At 38.0% G+C, this 23,297-nt stretch overlaps 1 protein-coding gene across 4 annotated transcripts in view; it reads left to right on the forward strand.

Annotated features, from left to right (window-relative positions):
* SLC30A5 (solute carrier family 30 member 5) overlaps positions 1–21,205 on the forward strand; it is a 37,056-nt gene extending 15,851 nt beyond the window's left edge. For 2 of the 4 annotated variants that reach the window (NM_022902.5, XM_005248569.4), the window contains 11 exons: positions 3,276–3,363; positions 4,556–4,632; positions 5,373–5,543; positions 6,062–6,350; positions 6,530–6,738; positions 7,375–7,532; positions 8,635–8,764; positions 11,830–12,031; positions 13,335–13,561; positions 18,140–18,268; positions 19,583–21,205. In NM_022902.5, coding sequence (NP_075053.2) covers positions 3,276–3,363; positions 4,556–4,632; positions 5,373–5,543; positions 6,062–6,350; positions 6,530–6,738; positions 7,375–7,532; positions 8,635–8,764; positions 11,830–12,031; positions 13,335–13,561; positions 18,140–18,268; positions 19,583–19,753 — 1,851 coding nt within the window. In that variant the 3' untranslated portion in view covers positions 19,754–21,205. The remainder of the gene's footprint in view (positions 1–3,275; positions 3,364–4,555; positions 4,633–5,372; positions 5,544–6,061; positions 6,351–6,529; positions 6,739–7,374; positions 7,533–8,634; positions 8,765–11,829; positions 12,032–13,334; positions 13,562–18,139; positions 18,269–19,582) is intronic. The other 2 variants (XM_006714672.5, XM_017009749.2) reach the window with 1 other exon arrangement.

The raw sequence follows: 23,297 nt of genomic DNA on the forward strand, positions 1-23,297 counted from the left end.
TGAAGGAGTGGGCTAGGGAACCAGGCCGCTTACAGACCCTAAGGAGGGTGCTGTAAAGAGTCAGCAGCTGCGGCCCTGACAAGCTGGCACTGCGGGCATTTATTCAGTATAGATTTAATGACAAAGGCCTTGAATCAACACGCTTTGTGGGTAAATAACATTGCTGACCCCCTACATAGAGAGCAGTCTTGAGCGCAAATGATCAAAGGTCGGTTTTAGGACAACATGAGTAAACGAGCTATTTAGATAAACTCCTCTACACTCCCTTGTATCTACGCCTTAAGCTTTTAGGCTTCTGATAAGAGAATCTGGCTGCCTTCAGCCAAAATATCCTTCAAAACTTGCAAAACCCCCAGCCTTCCAAGAAGGTTTGCTTCTATTCCTATAATTTCTCCCACCACTGTGACTGATCTCCCACACTTCCTGTGCATGGTGCATTTTCCTAGACATAAAGGAAAGGATAGATAAAGACAAATAAGGTATAATAGTCCCTATTCTGAAAGGGACTTTCAAGCAAAGTAATGAAGGGAGATGAATGAAGTAATGAAGTGAACAAAGTAACATGCCAAGTAGAGCAGAGTAAAAGAATACTCTGCCTGTAGATTTCAAACTGGGTCATTAGTATTAAAGCATGGGCCACTATTTAATCCTTCCCCCTCACTAATAGAGTACTCCAAAATAAATTTCAAGTGGATTGAAGAGCTTTGTGAGTTTACAAAATAGACATTTGTAAAAACATAGAATAAAATACGTAGATGGAGAAAATTCTGAGCATAAAAGCAGTGGAAAAAATCACAAAGGGAAAACTCACTATATTTGGCTTCATAATGATTATAAACTTAACGTATAACAGAAATCAGTGTGTATACAAAAAACTAACAACAAAAATTGCCAGAAATAAGTTTTACATTCCTTTCAAAGTATAAATCACCCATTTCAGTTTAAAAAATGCTTAAGATCCTTGGCAGGAAATCAGCAAAAAACTGGGAATGACAACTCACAAAAGAAATAAAAATGACTTGAAAACATTTAAAAAAAAAGTTTTCCTCCTTAAGTAACTAGAAGTGAGAGTGTTCTCATTAGTGTGAGAAATGGATCAGGGCATCAGTCCAGGACTTGATGATTGTTTTTTCTTTTTTTTTTTTTTGAGATGGAGTCTCACTGGGTTGCCCAGGCTGGAGTGCAGTGGCACCATCTTGGCTCACTGCAACCTCCACCTCCCAGGTTCAAGCAATTCTCCTGCTTCAGCCTCCCGAGTAGCTGAGATTACAGGCACATGCCACTACACTTGGCTAATTTTTGTATTTTTAGTAGAGACAAGGTTTCACTATGTTGGCCAGGCTGGTGTTGAACTCCTGACCTTGTGATCTGTCCGCCTTGGCCTCCCAAAGTGCTGAGATTACAGGTGTGAACCACCACGCCCGGACTTTTTTTTTCTTTTTCTTTTTTTTTTTTTTTGAGACAGAGTTTCACTCTGTCACCCAGGCTGGTGTGCAGTGGCACAATCTCAGCTCACTGCAACCTCTGCTGCCCAGGTTCAAGCAATTCTCCTGCCTCAGCCTCCTGAGTAGCTGGAATTACAGGCACCTGCCACTGCGCCTGGCCTAATTTTTGTACTTTTAGTAGAGACAGGGTTTCACCATATTGGTCAGGCTGGTCTTGAACTCCTGACCTCATGATCCACCCGCCTCGGCCTCCCAAAGTGCTGGGATTACAGGCGTGAGCCACCACGCCTGGCCTTTTTTTCTTAATTATGAGACTGAAGCATTACAAAATTCTCAGTTGCCTTCTTTGTTAACAAAAAGATTAAGTTATGTTCTCTGTATTTGATTGTTGTTGATGTTGCCATATCCTAACTCAGTGAAAACTTAAGAAATTTAAAAGTACATGGTTTTTCTCATGTGTAGTGTACTGAATTTTGTTGTAATACCACACTAACAGAATTTATCCATTATAGTGGTAATCATAGAATGAAGAGTATCCTCACTTTGCATTGTAAACTTTAATAGAAGTATTGTATTATACTTCCATTATAGGTATATATAATACACTTAATGTATCTATATATAATAGGTATTCTACAAGTATATGTATCATACAAGACATGTTATACCTGTAAATTTGTAAATATAGAATGTATAGTAATGCTGTTTAGCCAGGCACAGTGGCTCATGCCTGTAATCCTAGGACTTTGGGAGACCGAGGCGGGTGGATCACGAGGTCAAGAGATCAAGACCACCCTGACCAACATGGTGAAACCCGTCTGTACTAAAAATGCAAAAATTAGCCAAGCATGGTGATGTGCACCTGTAATCCCAGCTACTCAGGAGGCTGAGGCAGGAGAATCACTTGAACCCGGGAGATGGAGGTTGCAGTGAGCCGAGATCGTGCCATTGCACTCCAGCCTGGGCAACAGAGACTCTCCTCAAAAAAAAAAAAGGAATGTATAGTAATGCTATTTAGATTGCTCTTGAAGCTACCATTCTGAAATATTTACATAAACCGAGCTAATATGTCCTTTCTATAATTTTCTTTTATGAAAACCTTTTTCCTCAGCCTGAACAACATGGCTAGACCTGGTCTCTACAAATAAAAAATTAACCAGGCATGGTGGCACATGCCTGTGGTCCCAGCTATTTGGTAGGCTGAGGCAAGAGGATCACTTGAGCCCAGGAATTGGAGGCTGCAGTGAGCTGTGTTCACGCCACTGTACTCCAGCCTGGGCGACAGCGAGATCTGTCTGAAAAAAAAAAAAAAATTTTCCCTGGAATGAGAACATAAATTTTATCAGCTTTTTAAGTACTTTGTACTTTACTAGATCTTAGAAATGACTTTGCTGGTTTTACCGTGCCCTCTGGATTATTTTTCTCTAGAGGAGTAGTATCTAGAATATTCTCTATTCCTTGCATATTGTAGAGTAAAATAAGTTCCTACTAGTTATTCTTTAGCTACGTGGGCTTTTCAACCAGAAGTAAAGTAGCATTTAGGAAGGCTGATTCTGTAAACAGTACCAATTTGTACATAGTAATATGCCCAGCCATGTTAGCAAAGAGATAATCAATGTTATCATTAGTTTATATCTCTTTGATATCTTACTGCCAATACTGTAAGCTTATAATATGTAAGAGCTTTAATGTCAGATTTTTTTCTGTTTTTTAATGCATTTTTGTAAATGCTTACTTGAGAAAATGTTTTTCTTTAGTATTTATGTAGTTACGGTCTTAAAAATCAACCCTTGAAAAAGTCATCCTTGATGTTGTTTTCTTTATTTTCAGACAAGGGGAGCTGCTTTTTTCATTATTGCTGTGATCTGTTTATTGCTTTTTGACAATGATGATCTCATGGCTAAAATGGCTGAACACCGTATCCTTTTGGAATAGATCAGAGTTGTTTCAAGTCTTGAGGAAAACTAGAAGCCTGGAACAATGGAAAAAGAAAGGATAAGTGAATTAAACTGATCAATGATGAATGAAACTTTCATAGATTAATGTAGATATTCTAAATCAGTATTCAAATAATGAACAAACTCATTATAAGTTAAATATTTTATAGCATCTCTGTATCACCTACAGTACCCTAAATTTTCAGAAATGTAGGGACATTGAAAGAATATTTTGGAATGTCCTGGTGCTGGAAAAAAAAAAGGTGATTTGCCACTCAACATGTTTGCTCCCTTATAATTTAACAATTAAAAGGCTGATAAATGAAAAACCTTTAGTATCTTCTTGCCTGAAAGAAAAAGTTCAAATTCCCTTACCTAGTATTCATTGTCTTGCTCTAAATTATTATCTCTAGCTCAGCCCCAACTCTTCTCTTACAGAAACCCAACTTTCTAGTCAAATATATCTACTCATTTTACTCTACAAACATGCCTTTTTTTCTATTTTCTATTCATACATCCTTACCCACTCCATCCAGCAGAACTCCAAGCACCAGTTTTTATTCTTCTATTACTGATACTCACTGCCCTAAAACTTATTAGTAAACTAATAATAATTTTCTTTGTTACAGTGAGGGAGAAGAGTGTGACTTTGGAAAAGCTCCAGGTTGCTTGTGATACAACCTCTATTCCCCACCCTCTTTTGCTTGCCACTTAATTTGCTAAGACTTATGTGGTCAGTGACTTAGAAGACAGATTTAGGACTCATTTTACATGTCAGTCTTAAAGGGCAACCTTAATTCCACTGGACAGGAGTGGTCCAGGGAGATTCCTTGCTCTTGTACCTTTGTCGTTCTTAAAGTATGTATGCAATGTGTCTTTTAGAGGTTAACTACTAAAATCTGGCAAGTTTATCTTAAGCACTATTATAATTGTTTTGGAGACAACAAAAGAAATACAGGCATTCCAGTTTATAAATGAGGTCCTGGAATTAAATGTTAGATTGTTTTATTTTGTTTTGTTTTTAAGTGAAACATGTTATTGAAAGTAATTAAGTTTGAGGCCTCCAGATCAGTCTATATGCAATCCAAAATAATGTAACTAAAATTTCAGGAGAACTTCAGGTGTCAAAGAGTGACTTTTTGGAATTTTTTTCCTTTACTTCAACTCACTTAGCTGAAGGACATCATGACAGTGCTCTAACTCATATGCTTTACACAGCCATTGCCTTCTTAGGTGTGGCAGATCACAAGGTATGATTTCTTTGTTCCTAACAGGATCAAAAGATTCTGAAAAGTTGTAGCAACTATAACTATAAAGGTACATTTAAAATAAATTATCAGCTGGGCCCAGTGGCTCACGCCTGAAATCCCAGCACTTTGGGGGCCAAGGCAGGTGGATCACCTGAGGTCGGGAGTTCAAGACCAGCCTGACTGACATAGAAAAACCCCATCTCTACTAAAAATACAAAATTAGCCAGGCATGGTGGCACATGCCTGTAATCCCAGCTCCTCTGGAGGCTGAGGCAGGAGAATCACTTGAACCCGGGAGGCCGAGGTTGCAGTGAGCCAAGGTCGCGCTATTGCACTCCAGCCTGGGCAACAAAAGCGAAACTCTGTCTCAAAAAAAATAAAATAAAATAATTATCAGTAAGTTATAACATTGCCGGCCATTTAAGTAGTTACGTAATTGAGTATATGGGAAAAATATACTAGTTCCATTTCCTTAAATATTATGTTAGCATGGTGTGGTGGTGTGTGCCAGTAGTCCCGGCTACTTGGGAGGCTGAGACAGGAGGATCTCTTTGATCACAGGAGTTTGAGGCTGCAGTGAGCTGTGATCATGCCACTATACTTCAGCCTGGGTGGCAGAGCAAGACCCTGTCTCTGGGGAAAAAAAAAAAAAAAAAAAAAAAAAAAAAAGATCATGTATTTAACGACTGACTGTTGAACTGTGTGTGTTTCTAATGAGACTTATCTAATTTTACTCACAGGGTGGAGTATTATTGCTAGTACTGGCTTTGTGTTGTAAAGTTGGTTTTCATACAGCTTCCAGAAAGCTCTCTGTCGACGTTGGTGGAGCTAAACGTCTTCAAGCTTTATCTCATCTTGTTTCTGTGCTTCTCTTGTGCCCATGGGTCATTGTTCTTTCTGTGACAACTGAGGTAAGATAAGAGCAAGAATTTATTGGTATTAAATTGCTAGTAAAATGAATTGCTATTAAATTTTTAGTTCACTGTATTCAATAAATTATATTTTAATTTGAGGTTGAAAGTGGCTTAAATTGTCTTTGCTTTTTCTTTGTAGTTTTTTAAAAAAAATTTGGAGTTAATTTTATTGTTTATAGAAAATACAAATCAAATGCTATTACATTTACATATCCCTCACATTGCTATGGCCCAAAGGAATCATTTGAAGAAGGAGCAATTAACCATGTGTTAGGCTTAAAGATTGTGTGTCGCCTAGTGTTCATCGAATGATTACACAATAGTGCTTTTGTTTTTTAAAACTTTGGAGAATACTGAGAAAATGTACCAATATCTTATAGCTTTTATATGTTGGCATATTATGAATCATATTGAATCATGCGATTTTTATTTTTTTAAAAGATTAACAGAAACATCTTGTAAGATGTGAACTTTATACATGTATAGTCTTGACAATTCTTTTTTTTAATTTCTAGAGTAAAGTGGAGTCTTGGTTTTCTCTCATTATGCCTTTTGCAACGGTTATCTTTTTTGTCATGATCCTGGATTTCTACGTGGATTCCATTTGTTCAGTCAAAATGGAAGTTTCCAAATGTGCTCGTTATGGATCCTTTCCCATTTTTATTAGTGCTCTCCTTTTTGGAAATTTTTGGACACATCCAATAACAGACCAGCTTCGGGCTATGAACAAAGCAGCACACCAGGAGAGCACTGAACACGTCCTGTCTGGAGGAGTGGTAGTGAGTGCTATATTCTTCATTTTGTGTAAGCATTCCCCCCTTTTTTTTATTTTAACAAATTTCTATTTATGGATTTTGATGGTCACATCATTTACTTATTTTGGGAAATTCTTCAGTGCTTGCATTTAGTGCCGACAGTTACTGTGTTGGTTTTGGTAGCTTAAACTTCGAAAATTTAAACAATATTGTTTTTTCTCTTTGTAGCTGCCAATATCTTATCATCTCCCTCTAAGAGAGGACAAAAAGGTACCCTTATTGGATATTCTCCTGAAGGAACACCTCTTTATAACTTCATGGGTGATGCTTTTCAGCATAGCTCTCAATCGATCCCTAGGTTTATTAAGGAATCACTAAAACAAATTCTTGAGGAGAGTGACTCTAGGCAGATCTTTTACTTCTTGTGCTTGAATCTGGTAAGATTTTTAAATGTTAATTGACATATCCTAAAAGCATAATATTTTAATTTTGACAGTTCTGGTATAAGTTTAGTACTTCCCAAATTTCTGATAATAAGATGAGCTAAAATTTAAATTTTTTCTAAGTATAATAGCAAGATTACGAGATCATATTCAGATTCCTTAGGCAATCCTTAAGGCATGTGCCACCGTGCCCAGCCACTTAAGCAAACAATTTGTGAGGCATTTTAGAAGCATTGATTTAGTATGTTCCTTCAAATCAGTAAATATAGTAGCATTTAAAGAGTTCTAATAACTTACAGGATCTCACTATTAGCAATCAGTGTTATAAATCACCTATTGCTAACATTTTATAACCTAGTTTATTATTTTTATAGACATATAAACAAAACCATTTTTAAATAGTTTCTAAAATGGATTTATCTTAGTTTTTTACAATTTAATAGTTTGTAAAATGGGTTTATCTTAGTTTTTACAATTTGTGTGAAATAGGGTTTCTAATGTAAGTGGCAGTTAAATAACTAAACAATTATAGCAGATCTTCAAGTAAATTTGGATAATTAAGGGTTAAAATCCTCCTAATTGAAACAGTGCCCAACATACTCCTCCCTTTTTTTTTGGTGACATTTTTAGCTTTTTACCTTTGTGGAATTATTCTATGGCGTGCTGACCAATAGTCTGGGCCTGATCTCGGATGGATTCCACATGCTTTTTGACTGCTCTGCTTTAGTCATGGGACTTTTTGCTGCCCTGATGAGTAGGTGGAAAGCCACTCGGATTTTCTCCTATGGGTAGGTACATTGACTGTCGAGGTGGTATATCTTAAGTGCAAATTCCATCTTAAGGAACAGAATTATATTACTTATATTACTTTTAATACAAATAATTTCCAAATCTTCATTTTTAAAAAATGTGAAGTAAATAAGGGGATGTGAATCGGGCATTTGATAAATACTGAATGGAATTAAGCTCAAAGATTATGCTCCCTTGGCCGAGCACAGTGGCTCACGCCTGTAATCCTAGCACTTTGGGAGGCCAAGGCAGGCGGATCACCTGAGGTCAGGAGTTCGAGACCAGCCTGGCCAACATGGTGAAACCTCGTCTCTACTAAAAATACAAAAATTAGCCGGGTATGGTGGCACGCACCTGTAGCCCCAGCTACTCGGGAGGTTGAGGCAGGAGAATCGCTTGAACCCAGAAGGCAGAGGTTGCAGTGAGCCAAGATCGTGCCACTGCACTCCAGCCTGGGCAACAGAGTGAGACTATGTCTCAAAAAAAAAAAAGACAGGGCCAGGTGCGGTGGCTCACGCCTGTAATCCCAGCACTTTGGGAGGCCGAGGCGGGCGGATCACAGGGTCAGGAGATCGAGACCATCCTGGCTAACACGGTGAAACCCCGTCTCTACTAAAAATACAAAAAAAATTAGCCGGGCGTAGTGGCAGGCACCTGTAGTCCCAGCTACTCGGGAGGCTGAAGCAGGAGAATGGTGTGAACCCAGGAGGCGGAGCTTTCAGTGAGCCAAGATCGTGCCACTGCACTCCAGCCTGGGTGACAGAGCAAGACTCTGTCTCAAAAAAAAAAAAAAAAGAGAGTAAAGAAGGACTTTGATGAATATATAACATTTTAACAAATGTATATATTCGTTAAAATGTTATATATTCATATATAACGTATATATATTCATATATAACGTGTATATATATGTGTATATATATATATGTATATATATATGAAGGACCTTCCAGGCATTAATATGATATTTAAAATATTGCTAATTTTCTATTATTAATTACTTAGTAGTATGAAAATTTGGACTTGTTTCCTCATTTATAAAGTTTATACTTTAAAAATATTTGTCCTTTTCCTTTTCTGAAAAATGTTCTATGTTTTTAGGTACGGCCGAATAGAAATTCTGTCTGGATTTATTAATGGACTTTTTCTAATAGTAATAGCGTTTTTTGTGTTTATGGAGTCAGTGGCTAGATTGATTGATCCTCCAGAATTAGACACTCACATGTTAACAGTAAGTCTTTTTATTTTCCTATTTGGATTTCTAGTCATACTTACATAGTTTTTTCTATCCTAAAGTTTAATTGTTTGCAGTTATTGCTCTAAGAAGGTTTTATTTTTTACTTATATCAACATAACTTCCTATCTTGCTGTTTACATTTATACTGCTCCCTCTTAGAAATTCTCTTTTTTTTTTTTTTTTTTTTTGAGACAGAGTCTCTGTTTTCCAGGCTGGAGTGCAGTGGCATGATCTCAGCTCACTGCAGCCTCCACCTCTCAGGCTCAAGCGATTCTCGTGCCTCAGCCTCCTGAGTAGCTGGGATTACAGGCATGTGCCACCACCCCCTGCTAAATTTTGTATATTTTGTATAGATAGAGTTTCGCCATGTTGGCCAGGCTGGTCTCGAACTACTGACCTCAAGCAATCCTCCCACCTTGGCATCCCAAAGTGCTGGGATTACAGGCATGAGCCACTGTGCCCGGCCAGCTATAGCAACTTTTAATGTTCTCCCTGTACCACCAAAGCTTTACATGTGCTGTTTCTTGTAGTTGGCATGTCCTTTCCTTACTTCTGCCCTTCAGCCTCCATCAAGATTTTGCTTATGTGAAATACTTTTTTTCTTTTCTTTTTTTCTTTTTTTTCAAGCAATTCTCCTGTCTCAGCTTCCCGAGTAGCTGGGACTACAGGCGCCTGCCACCACGCCTGCCTAATTTTTGGAAATACTTTCTTTTAATCCCCCTCTTCTCTCCACAAAGTTTGTTAGATTCCTTTTCTCAGTATTCTCATTATGTTTTGTGCATTCTTCTTTTAGCAACATTGAGTTGCAGTTGTTTAATTTGTCATTCTTCCACAATTAAGATATGTAAGTATCTTCAGGACCTGAATTACATATTATTAACTCTTAAGTTCAGTTCTAGCACCTGGCTTGTCGTAGGAAATCAGTTGTTAAATGACAAAAAGCAGCTCTGGCTCTTGCTGGTGGAAGCATACATGAGTAAAATGTTTCTATAATACAGTTTGGAAAAATAGACTTTTTTGGATTTTTTAGTGCCTGTATCCTTTGATATTGACTATTTATCATACATAAACATTCACACAAACATATAGAAGTACATGACTCTGGCCGGGTGCAGTGGCTCACGCCTGTAATCCCAGCACTTTGGGAGGCCGAGGTGGTTGGATCACCTGAGGTCAGGAGTTTGAGACCAGTCTGGTCAACATAGTGAAACCCCATCTCTACTAAAAATACAAAAATTAGCCGGGCATGATGGCGCACACCTGTAATCCCAGCTAGTTGGGAGGCTGAGGCAGGAGAATCACTTCAACCACGAGGCAGAGGCTTCAGTGAGCCCAGGTTGCACCAACTGTACTCCAGCCTGGGTGATAGAGAGACTCTGCCTCAAAAAAAAAAAAAAAAAAAAGTAGTACATGATTCATTGTACCCTTATTTATAATAGTGAAAAAATGGAAACAATTCACTGTCCACCAGTGAAAAAAGTAATTAAATAAATTTGTTATCTATATAATAGAATATTACAGAGCTATTGAAAAGAATGAGATATATCTGTATATACTGGCCTGAAAATATTTACGAGATGTACTAGTGAAAAACAAATTGCAGGCCATGCATGGTGGCGGGCGCCTGTAATCCCAGCTGCTTGGGTGGCTGAGGTAGGAGAATTGCTTGAACCTGGGAGGCAGAGGTTGCAATAAGCCGAGATCATGCCACTGCACTCCAGCCTGGTTGACAGAGCAAAACTCTGTCTCAAAATGAAAAAAAAAAAATTGTAAAATAGTATTATGATTACATTGTTGGTTTTAAAGGGTGTTATGTGTATGTATGTTAGTACACAGATGGAAAATACACCATTTTAAGCGTGACTAACCCTTGGTGGTAGAATTATAGGGGACTTTCATCTTCTACATTTTTATTTTCCTGATAAAATACACAATGATGAAGTATTTTTCAGTAGGGGAGAAGGAGTACTTATGAGATGATGGAGTCTCTGTAAGCAGTACTTGGTTTCATTCAAAGTCATTAACCATCTACCAGCTTATAAAGCCTAATGAAATTTTAAAATCTGGAGTCAAATGGTCCGAATCAGGAAGAAGTAAATAACCTCCCTACACATTTAATAAAGTAAATCTCTTACTACTTTTGAAAAGTAATTAAAAGTATTTGTCCTTCTCATATTTATATTTTCCTTTTATAAAACAAATGGATTGCTTTAAATTGTAGATGTAGGCAAATTAACACCCTGAGCTACTACTATTCAAGATCATTTTGTAAGAGCAGATAATCAAGGATAAGTAACTTTGTTTATCCTTTGGAGTATTATTGTGGCACCATTAAATTAAAGTAATTTCATTCACTTTGTTAAGAAAAAAATGAGAGGCCAGGCATAGTGGCTCATGCCTGTAATCCCATAATCCCAACACTTTTGGAGGCCAAGGTGAGAAGATCGCTTGAGCCCAGGAGTTTGAGGACAGCCTGGGCAACATAGACCCTGTCTCTACCAAAGAAAAAAATTTGTTTTTAATTTAAATAAATGCGAGATTACTATTGTATGTTTCCTTTTTATTATACTTGTTTTACTTTGGAAAATTTTACTGTGTTTAAGACATAATAAGACCATATTTGGAATCTGCTCATTAATAAATTATAATTGTTGGCATATAAACTGTTCAAATTTACCTAGCAATATAAAGATTTCAGGTACAGTGTATACTTGCCCTAGTAAGCAGTACTTTCAAACTCTTCAATAAACAAAACAAAACTTTGCATCATTTATTTATACATAAACCATAAACCAAGTACATACCATTCTTAATTGAAATAAGTCCAAATTCCTCTACTTACCAATTCTGCTTGATATTTGAAAGTTAAAATGTTTCTTCTAAAATGTTCTAAAATTCACATTTTTAAAATTTTGGACTTACTGAAACTTAGTAAGGTTTTACTGTGAATACTTTCAAAACTGTAAACAGAAAAACATATATAGCTATATAATAACTTTTAAATAACAAGTCTATTTTTAAATTACTAATTTAAAGGTTTTTTTTCTCCCTTTTGCTAGCCAGTCTCAGTTGGAGGGCTGATAGTAAACCTTATTGGTATCTGTGCCTTTAGCCATGCCCATAGCCATGCCCATGGAGCTTCTCAAGGAAGCTGTCACTCATCTGATCACAGCCATTCACACCATATGCATGGACACAGTGACCATGGGCATGGTCACAGCCACGGATCTGCGGGTGGAGGCATGAATGCTAACATGAGGGGTGAGTCCTTGCAAAATATTATCCTACTTTTCAACTGTGTTCTAAATCAACCCTCTGTGTTTATTTGTATTAAGTTTTGGGCTTCTGGTATGATATGATTTTTAAAAAGCAATCTGTGACTAAAAGAAAGGTCTGAAGCTATCACTATAGAAAATATTCTTACCTGAATACACATAAAATTAAATATTATTCAGCCTTTAAAAAGAGGGACATTCTGGCTGGGAGCATGGTGGTTCACGCCTGTTAATCCCAGCAATTTGGGAGGCTGAGGCGGGAGTACCACCTGAGGACAGGAGTTCAAGACCAGCCTGGCCAATATGGTGAAACCCTGTGCCTACTAAAAATACAAAAATTAGCCGGACATGGTGGCAGGTGCTTGTAATCCCAGCTACTCAGGAGGCCGAGGCAGAAGAATCGCTTACAGGTGTGAGCCACCATGCCTGGCCGTCACAGAAAATTTTTTAAAAAGAAAATGAGGCTGGGAACAGTGGCTCACATCTGTAATCCTAGCACTTTGGGAGGCCAAGGTGGGTGGATCACCTGAGGTCAGGAGTTCGAGACCAGTCTCTCCAACATGGTGAAACCCTGTCTCTACTAAAAATACATAACTTAGCCAGGTGTGGTGGCAGGCGCCTGTAGTCTCAGCTACTCAGGAGGCTGAGACACGAGAATCACTTGAACCTGGGAGATGGAGGTTGCAGTGAGCCAAGATTACGCCACTTTACTCCAGCCTGGGCAACAGAGTGAGACTCTATCCAAAACAAAAAGAAAATGAAAATATATTTGTTCTTAAATGTTAGTTTTTAAATGATTATAATTATATAGTCCTTTTCATAGTGACAGCTGAATAGATATTAGTTGCAAGGTAAACACAGTGTGCTATTATGAACCTTCATTACAAAAAGGAAATTCTTACTCCTTTTTTAGAAATTTTTATTGCACTATAAAAAAAATGGAGGAAGTACTAATCATTTATTTTGCTGAATTGTTTATTCTGATTGCTTAATATAAGTAATGTGGGTAATGTCAAAACTTGCCTCAAGTATGATTTTTGGGAAGCCTTTCCAGACAAAGTACACCATAAAATTTGGCACGCTGTGTCATGAGTGCCTATGTCCTTATATTTTTACCACTGTATTCTGAATTCCTTGAGGGCAGTGACCATGTTTTAGGCATTTTGAAGTACTAGCCAGTAGCAGAGTATGTGGTGCACAGTAGGTATCCAGTAATATTAGTAGAATGTATTAAAAAACTAAATTAGATGTGCCTTAATTTTTAATGTCCTTATATATTTTATTTGTAGGTGTATTTCTACATGTTTTGGCAGATACACTTGGCAGCATTGGTGTGATCGTATCCACAGTTCTTATAGAGCAGTTTGGATGGTTCATCGCTGACCCACTCTGTTCTCTTTTTATTGCTATATTAATATTTCTCAGTGTTGTTCCACTGATTAAAGATGCCTGCCAGGTTCTACTCCTGAGATTGCCACCAGAATATGAAAAAGAACTACATATTGCTTTAGAAAAGGTACTGTATGTAATTTCTTCACTACTTTCTTCCTTGAAAATCACATTTTTGAAGTCTTTGCTGGAAGTAAAACAGACAACCAAATAAATAATAAAACAAAACGAGGCCAAAAAAGAAATATAAAGTAGCATTTAAAATTTAATAAGTTGACCTAACAAGAAATATGCAAGATATAAATGAGAAAAATACAGTTTTACTTAAAGGATATAAAACAGGGACCGAATAGATGGATGAGATTTTCTTGGATGAGAAGACTCTTTATTATAATGATGTTGATTTTATTTTATTTAGATTTCAATTTAGTTGCCTTCATTGGATATTTTTGTTTATGGTTTGGGATGTTCTAAAATTATTTGGAACTTACTTGGAAGAGTTAGCGCTTGAGAATAAGAAAACATACATAAACTTACAGAATTAATTAATAGGATCCTACTTTGCAATTATAAAGTAGCAGAATTAAGTGACAAAACTAACAGTTTAGATCGAGACCATCCTGGCTAACAAGGTGAAACCCCGTCTCTACTAAAAATACAAAAAATTAGCCGGGCGTGGTGGCGGGCACCTGTAGTCCCAGCTACTCGGGAGGCTGAGGCAGGAGAATGGCGTGAACCCGGGAGGCAGAGCTTGCAGTGAGCCGAGACCACGCCACTACACTTCAGCCTGGGTGACAGAGCGAGACTCCACCTCAAAAAAAAAAAAAAAAAACCTAACAGTTTGGTCCTTGCACAAGAATAAAGACATAAATCAACTTTTAAAAAAATAATAAGTTCCCATTCTTGTGACCTGGGATTGTTTCCTGGACAGCACAAAAAAAAAAATAGTAACAATAATAATAGGTTGTCTGTAAAAGAAGAAATAATAAAAAATGAAAATAAATGAAGAATTATGGTATGTAATGTAAAAGAAGAAATAAAAATAGGTTGTCCAGAAACAGACCCAGGAGTTTATGGAATTCAGTATATAGCAAAGATGGTATTTTAGATCACTGGGGAGAAATAGTTGACCTAAATAACCAGCTTTTGGTTAATTACTTCTTTACTTTGTGGGGAAAAAAAAGCTATATCTCTATACCATATTATATAAAAATACATTTCCAGTGGATTAAATATGTAAATGACAAAAAAATTATGAAACTACTAAATAGAGAAATATTTTTGTTTGTTTGTTTTTTGAGACAGTCTTGCTCTGTTGCCAGGCTGGAGTGGAGGGGCGCAATCCCAGCTCACTGCAACCTCCACCTCCCGGGTTCAAGCGATTCTCCTGCCTCAGCCTCCCAAGTTGCTGGGATTACAGGCCTACCACACCCAGCTAATTTTTGTATTTTAGTAGAGATGGGGTTTCGCCATGTTGGCCAGGCTGGTCTTGAACTCCTGACCTCAAGCTATCCACCCACCTTGGCCTCCCAAAGTGCTGGGATTACAGGTGTGAGCCACTGCACCCCGCCAGAAAAATATGTTTATAATCACAAAGATAGGGAAAGACTTTTTAATATACTTGAAACCAGAGGCCAAAAAGGGAGGATAAAATTTACAAATTTGACCAGTTGAAAATTGCCAGTTGGTGGAAGATTTCATTAACAAGTATAAAACATAAAAGGCAGACCAGGAAAAAACATTTGCAGCACATATAAACAGGCAAAGGTTTACTGTCCATAATTCTTTAAGTCAAGAAAAAGACAATCTTAGCTGTGCATGGTGGCTCATGCCTGTAATCCAGCACTTTGGGAGGCTGAGGTGAGCAGATCACCTGAGGCCAGGAGTTCAAGGTCAGCCTGGCCAACATGGTGAAAGTCCATCTCTACTAAAAATACAAAAATTAGGGTCGGGCACGGTGGCTCACGCCTGTAATCCCAGCACTTTGGGAGGCTGAGGCAGGCAGATCACGAGGTCAGGTGATTGAGACCATCCTGGCTAACATGATGAAACCCCATCTCTACTAAAAATATAAAAAATTAGCCGGGCATGGTGGCGGGCACCTGTAATCCAAGCTACTCAGGAGGCTGAGTCAGTAGAATCGCTTGAACCCAGGAGGTGGAGGTTGCAGTGAGCTGAGATCACGCCATGGCAACAGAGCGAGACTGGCAACAGAGCGAGACTCTGTCCTTCCCCACACACAAAAAAAAAAATTAGGCCTGGCACGGTGGCTCAGGCCTGTAATCCCAGCACTTTGGGAGGCCAAGGCTGGCGGATCACAAGGTCAGGAGATTGAGACCATCCTGGCTAACATGGTGAAACCCCGTCTCTACTAAAAAAAAATACAAAAAATTAGCCAGGCACCGTGGTGGGCACCTGTAGTCCCAGCTCCTCGGGAGGCTGAGGCAGGAGAATGGCATGAACCTGGGAGGCGGAGCTTGCAGTGAGCCATGAACCTGGGAGGCGGAGCTTGCAGTGAGCCGAGATCACGCCACTGCACTCCAGCCCGGGCCACAGAGCGAGACTCCGTCTCAAAAAAAAAAAAAAAAAAAAAAAAAATTAGCTGGGTGTAGTAGTATCGCACACCTGTAATCCCAACTACCTGAGTGGCTGAAGCATGAGAATCACTTCAACCCAGGAGGCAGAGGTTGCAGTGAGCCAAAAATCACACCACTGTACTCCAGCCTGGGCAACAGAGCAAGACTGTCTCAAAGGAAAAACAGTCATGTAGAAAAATAAGATGAGAATATAAACCAGCAATTCCTAGAAATAAACAAATATAAAATAGACTCTCTTTCACCTCGTGGTTTACTACATCATATTAAAGTAATTGGGATCTGCTGATGAAAAGATAGCATCTTGAATATTTAAGTTCTATCATCTTAACCCATTGTTTTCATAAATAAAATTAGTAAAGTTATCTCACCTCATAGTTATTGGATAGTAGTACATCATGGGGTTTTTTTAAGTTTTTGTTTGTTTGTTTTGTTTTTAAATAGAGCTGGGGTTTCTCAATGTTGCCCGGGCTGGTCTTGAAATCCTGAGCTCAAGCTTTGGCCTTCCAAAGTGAGGGATTATGGGCGTGAGCCACCGCGCCTGGCCTAAAGTATTTTTTATTTCAATAATAATATATGTCTGTTGTAGGCCAGGCGTGGCGGCTCACACCTGTAATCCCAGAACTTTGGGAGGCCGAGGCGGGCGGATCACAAGGTCAGGAGTTTGAGACCAGCCTGGTCAATATGGTGAAACCCCATCTCTACTAAAACTACAAAAAATACAAAAATTAGCTGGGTGTGGTGGCACGTGCCTGTAGTCCCAGCTATTCGGGAGGCTGAGGCAGAAGAATCGCTTGAACCCAGGAGGCAGAGGTTGCAGTGAGCCGAGATCACACCACTGCACTCCAGCCTGGGCGACAGAGTGAGACTCTGTCTTAAAAAAACAAACAAACAAACAACAACAACAACAACAACAAAATATATATATATATGTATATATATCCATTGCAGAAAACTTCAAAATATAGAAAAGTGCAAAAAAGAAAAAAAAAAATCACATAATTTTACCACCTGGAAAGAAATACTTTTTGTTTCCTTCCCATTCTACAAAAAGCCATGTAAAGAAACATTTTTACAAGTTGTTTCCATATTAAAATTTTGAAAATAAAAATGGCAAAAAACTTTCGTAATGTTTTATAAATTTTCTCCCCACTTAATAATGTCATGTTGATTAATATTCTAATACATTGTTAATGACTGCATTATTACATTGTATGGGCAGTCAATCATTTATTTAACCAATCCTCTGTTGTTGAACATTGAGGATATCTTTTGAATGTGTTATCTCTATATAACAAATAATGTGCATATGAATGTGTCCGTGTAAAGGAGAACTTGTAGTTCATTGAATGTGTCTAGGTCATGATTAGAATAGGCAGAGTTGTGCTGTATCAGGGAAAATAAGGGTACTGCTATTGATAAGAGCCCATTTTAGGTATAAAGATAACTGTAACAGCTGGGCACGGTGGTCCACACCTATAATCCTAGCACTTCGGGAGGCTGAGGTGGGTGGATTGCCTGAACTCAGGAGTTCGAGACCAGCCTGGGCAACATGGTGAAACCCCATCTGTACTAAAATACAAAAAAAAAAAAAAAAAAAAAATTTAGCCAGGCGTGGTGGCGTGCACCCGTAGTCAGCTACTTGGGAGGCTGAGGCAGGAGAATTGCCTGAACCTGGGAGGCTGAGGTTGCAGTGAGCCAAGATGGTGCCACTGCACTCCAGCCTGCGACAGAGCAAGACTGTCTCAAAAAAAACAAAAACGAACAAAATAAAGATACCTGTAACACCCATTTGCCTTCCTACTCAGAGCTGCCATACTAGCATCATTCCTAGGTGAGATTTTTTTTCCCCCACACATCTGTAGCCTCCAGAAATAGATCAGAATATTTTAGGCACCTTTACTTTAAGCTATTTTCCCATCTCCTATTCCTTCCTGCTTCTGGCTTCTCATTATGGCTGGTTTTTTGTTTGTTTTGTTTTGTATTTTAAAGAGCTTAATAGTGATCCTGGACCAAGGAATCTGTGTGTTTACTTTCTGTCAGAAAGCATCTCCATTGTGTTGTGTAAAGTAGCCTGTATGACCATTTATATCACCTCTTTTATTTGACAGATACAGAAAATTGAAGGATTAATATCATACCGAGACCCTCATTTTTGGCGTCATTCTGCTAGTATTGTGGCAGGAACAATTCATATACAGGTGACATCTGATGTGCTAGAACAAAGAATAGTACAGCAGGTAATCTTTTGTTTTTAAAGTAATTTTAATTGAGGTCATTCATACCCAAAATTGTACACCTCATAAGTTATATGGCTCAGTAGTCATTTACTATTCAGAAATATCAATCTTCCAACTCTTTTTTTTTTTTTTTTTTTGAGACAGGGTCTCACTCTGTTGCCCAGGCTGGAGTGCAGTGGCGTGATCTCGGCCCACTGCAACCTCCGCCTCCTGGGTTCAAGCAGTCTCCCTGCCTCAGCCTCCCAAGTCGCTGGGATTATAGGCACCCGTCACCATGCCCGCCTATTTTTGTTTGTTTGTTTGTATTTTTAGTAGAGATGGGGTTTCGCCATGTTGGCCAGTCTAGTCTCAAACTCCTGACCTCAGGTGATCCGCCTGCCTCGACCTCCCAAAGTGCTGGGTTTATAGGCAAGCCATCATGCCCGGCCTAATCTTCCAAATCTGTAACGGTAATATAGCTTACTTTTTACATCTAGATTTGTTTTATATCTAAAAATTGCTAAAATAAATGAAGTTTTGTGTTTAGAGGATAAGCTTTAATTAATATAAAAAAATTCATTTATGAGTTTGATTAATCTTGGTTTCCAGTAGATTATCAAAAAATAAGTTATTATAAATATATTCCTAAATTAGTAATAATCAACTTGGCAGGGTATATGCTATGTTTGGAGATAGAGGTCAGAATAGTTACTAAAGCCCTGTTCTAGATGTGCCAAATTGGAAACAATGGCTGTTTTCCTTTTCTACTGTGAATGTCAAATCAGTAATTTACTGACCTAAAAGAGTCTAATATTTTAACTAACTAAATGATGAATATTACTTCGAAGATTTATCTTGGACTACTGTAACTGTTTGTTTGTTTGTTTACTCATTCATTTTAGAGACAAGATCTCACTATGTTGCCCAGGCTGGTCTCAAACTCCTGGGCTCAAGCGATCCTCCTGCCTCAGCCTCCCTGGGCCACTGTGCCTGGCCTGTAACTATTTTAAAAATGTGACACAGGTTTAATATTCCTTATCTAAAATGCTTGGAACCAGAAGTGTTTTCGATTTGCGATTTTATTTTTTTTAATACTCGCATTACGCTTACCAGTTGAGCATCCCTAATCTGAAAATCCAAATCCAAAATGCTCCAATGAGCATTTCCTTTTAACACCATCTTGGCACTCAAAAAGTTTCAGATTTTAGAGCGTCTCAGATTTCGTATTTTCAGATTAAAGATACTCAACCCGTATCAACTATGTACAGCATATTAAGACGTGTGTACTAAATGCATTACTCTAAATGCTTCAAAATATCTGGATTTTTATAACAGGTTACAGGAATACTTAAAGATGCTGGAGTAAACAATTTAACAATTCAAGTGGAAAAGGAGGCATACTTTCAACATATGTCTGGCCTAAGTACTGGATTTCATGATGTTCTGGCTATGACAAAACAAATGGAATCCATGAAATACTGCAAAGATGGTACTTACATCATGTGAGATAACTCAAGAATTACCCCTGGAGAATAAACAATGAAGATTAAATGACTCAGTATTTGTAATATTGCCAGAAGGATAAAAATTACACATTAACTGTACAGAAACAGAGTTCCCTACTACTGGATCAAGGAATCTTTCTTGAAGGAAATTTAAATACAGAATGAAACATTAATGGTAAAAGTGGAGTAATTATTTAAATTATGTGTATAAAAGGAATCAAATTTTGAGTAAACATGATGTATTACATCATCTTCAAAAATAGATATGATGGATTCTAGTGAAGACCAAAATTACTTCTGTTTACTTTCTATCAGGAAGCATCTCCATTGTAAATATGTATTTACATGTTTATTACAAAGACCCAAATGAAAAATTTTTAGTCCATTTTTTGCATAGCCTAAAGATAAAATAGGAATAAAAGTTCTATATTTATGGATTTTCTGTATATAAAACTGGTTTCTAATTATAACTTAAGTCCATTAAGTAAAATCTGTATTGCCACTTTAAATGTAAACTAAATTATTTGGGAGAAACTTCAACCACTGATATGAGATAAGCAATGAGAATAGGGAAGTGTATAACATCACAGTTTTTGATGTATTACAAAAATCAACCACTCTATAAAATAAATTTTTTTTACTTTTGGTAATATTTGCAAATGAATAATTAATTTATTAGGGTAAAGAACTTATACTAAGTTGTGTCCATGTTATTCATTTACTTACCATGTTCCTTTAAAGTAGAATATTTCCTTTCTTGTTATATATTTGACATTCCAAGCTGCTTATCAAGCTGGTATCCAAGCAGTGGTAAGCTTTCATCCTTTCTTAGCTCCATAACGTTGTGAAACAGCCAGTTAAGAGAATCGTAAATAATTGTCAACTCACAGTTGAATTCTCTGCCTATGTAGGTAACTTTTTTCTAATTTCTGGAACATATAGATATATAAGAAATATCAAAGAATAGGTAGTTATTTCAAAGTTTAATAAGTAAAACTTGTTCATAAACATTTGAGCACCATGAAATCAAAATACCCTATAACTACTTTCTATAGTCATATCTAATTTATATTTTTTTCATTTCCAGTTGTAACTAGATATGTAGTAAAGTCTGAAAAGACTTTACCATAGACAATAACATGCAGTTTTATCAGCACCAAAGAATGTTGTCCAAAAGAAACTTTTTAATACCTGTCTTTCTATTTATAACATCTGAATATTTTCATTCTTATATTAAGAATTTTGATAAGTAGATTGAATTTAGTATGAGTACTATTTTCTTATATATACCACAATGGCAAACATGTATTATAAATCATATTTTTGTCTTACCAATTTTAATATATGAGGGGTTTTAGAAATTTGTTGTAAGTTATTTTTATATTCCTTGTCTTTTGCATATTTTTTGGCCAAAATCTTCAATACATATTAAAATTTTTGAGTGGTGGGAAAATAATTGCATATTGATGTTTTAATGCAATTTTTATACATTAAAAAATTAAGTAGATAGGTGCAATAAATATTACACCAAAGTTAAAATTGTCATTTCCCTTAGAAGACATATAAACAGCAAAAAAATTAATGTGATTGTGAGATATTAGAGTGAGAGAGAGCAGGGGCTGAAGGTTGGGGAGGTACAATTATAAAGTATGGAAACTCTAATATTGAAAGCACCAGGGTACTGTATTTCAGCTCATGCAAATCATGCAACTAGGCCAGGTGCAGTGTCTCTTGCCTGAAATCCTGGCACTTTGGGAGGCTAAAGCAAAAGGATAGCTTGAGCCCAGGAGTTTGAGAACAGCCTGAGCAACATAGCAAGATTCCATCTCTACAAAAATTTTTAAAAATTAGCTGGGGCATGGTGGCACATACCTCTTGGGAGGCTGAGGCAGGAGGATTGCTTGAACCTAGGAGGCCAAGGCTGCAGTGAGCCATGATGGCACCACTGCTCTCCAGCCTGGGTGACACAGAAAGATTTTATCTCAAAAAAAAAAAAAAAATTCATGCAACTTTAGGCAAATCAGCCTTTCTGAGGTATCTTTTTTTTTTCCTCATATATAAACTATATAAAACCTGCTCAAATTTACAGCACAGGATATGGGAACAAAAGGTATAATGTATGTGAAAATGCAGTGGAAGTTGAAAAAGGCTAAATAGGCCGGGTGCGGTGGCTCACGCCTGTAATCCCAGCACTTTGGGAGGCCGAGGTGGGCGGATCACGAGGTCAGGAGATCGAGACCATCCTGGCTAACATGGTGAAACCCTGTCTCTACTAAAAATGCAAAAAATTAGCCAGATGTGGTGGCAGGCGCCTGTAGTCCCAGCTACTCGGCAGGCTAAGGCAGGAGAATGGCGTTAACCTGGGAGGCGGAGCTGGCAGGCAGCCGAGATAGCACCACTGCACTCTAGCCTGGGTGACAGAGCAAGACTCCATCTCAAAAACAAAAAAGAAAAAGGCTAAATACGAAGAATTGTTACTTTTTAAGCCTGACTTCAAAGGTAGCCGTCATTAACTTGTCTCTTTTTTTCTATAAATTAGCATCTCAAGAGATTAATTAGATGTTTAACATATAAATAAGTTAAAAATAATGCCCAAAATAGAAGCCTGTTTTGAGGGAGGGGAGTTTGGATTTTTTTTTCAGAGACAAGGTCTCACTCTGTTGCCCAGGCTGGAGTGCAATGACATGATCATTGCTCACTGCAGCCTTGAACTCCTGAGCTCAAGCAATCCTCCCACCTCAGCCTCTCCAGTAGGTAGGACTGCAGGTGCACATTACCATGCCCAGCTAATTTATTGTTTGTAGAGACAGGGTCTCACCATGTTGCCCATGCAAGTCTCGGAACTCCTGGGCTCAAGTGATCCTCCCACCTCTTCTTCCCAAAGTATGAGGATTATAGCCATCCTGGCTAACACGGTGAAACCCCATCTCTACTAAAAATACAAAAAATTAGCGGGGCGTGGTGGCGGGCGCCTGTAGTCCCAGCTCCTCGGGAGGCTGAGGCAGGAGAATGGTGTGAACCCGGGAGGCGGAGGTTGCAGTGAGCCGAGATCGTGCCACTGCACTCCAGCCTGGGTGACAGAGTGAGACTCCGTCTCAAAAAAAAAAAAAAAAGAAAGAAAATAATACAATCATTTATGGCTTTTTGTGTTTTATTTATGTTTTTATTTATTAGTTTTTAGAGTCTCGCTCTGTCGCCAGGCTTGAGTGCAGTGGTGCAATCTGGCTCACTGTAACCTCCACCTCCTGGGTTCAAACGATTCTCCTGCCTCAGCCTCCTGAGTAGCTGGGACTACAGGTGCACGCCACTACGCCCAGCTAATTTTTGTATTTTTTTTTTAGTAGAGACAGAGTTTCACCATGTTGGCCAGGATGGTCTCGACCTCGACCTTGTGATCCATCCGCCCACCTCGGCCTCCCAAAGTGTGGGATTACAGGCATCAGCCACCGTGCCCGGCCTGTGTTTTATTTTTAATTATAATTCTTTTCTTCTGTTATAGCAATTTATGGCGTTTTAAACATTCAGTAAATTAACTCATAACAAAT

This window comes from Homo sapiens, chromosome 5 (assembly GCF_000001405.40).
Source record: "Homo sapiens chromosome 5, GRCh38.p14 Primary Assembly".
Lineage (NCBI taxonomy): Eukaryota > Metazoa > Chordata > Mammalia > Primates > Hominidae > Homo > Homo sapiens.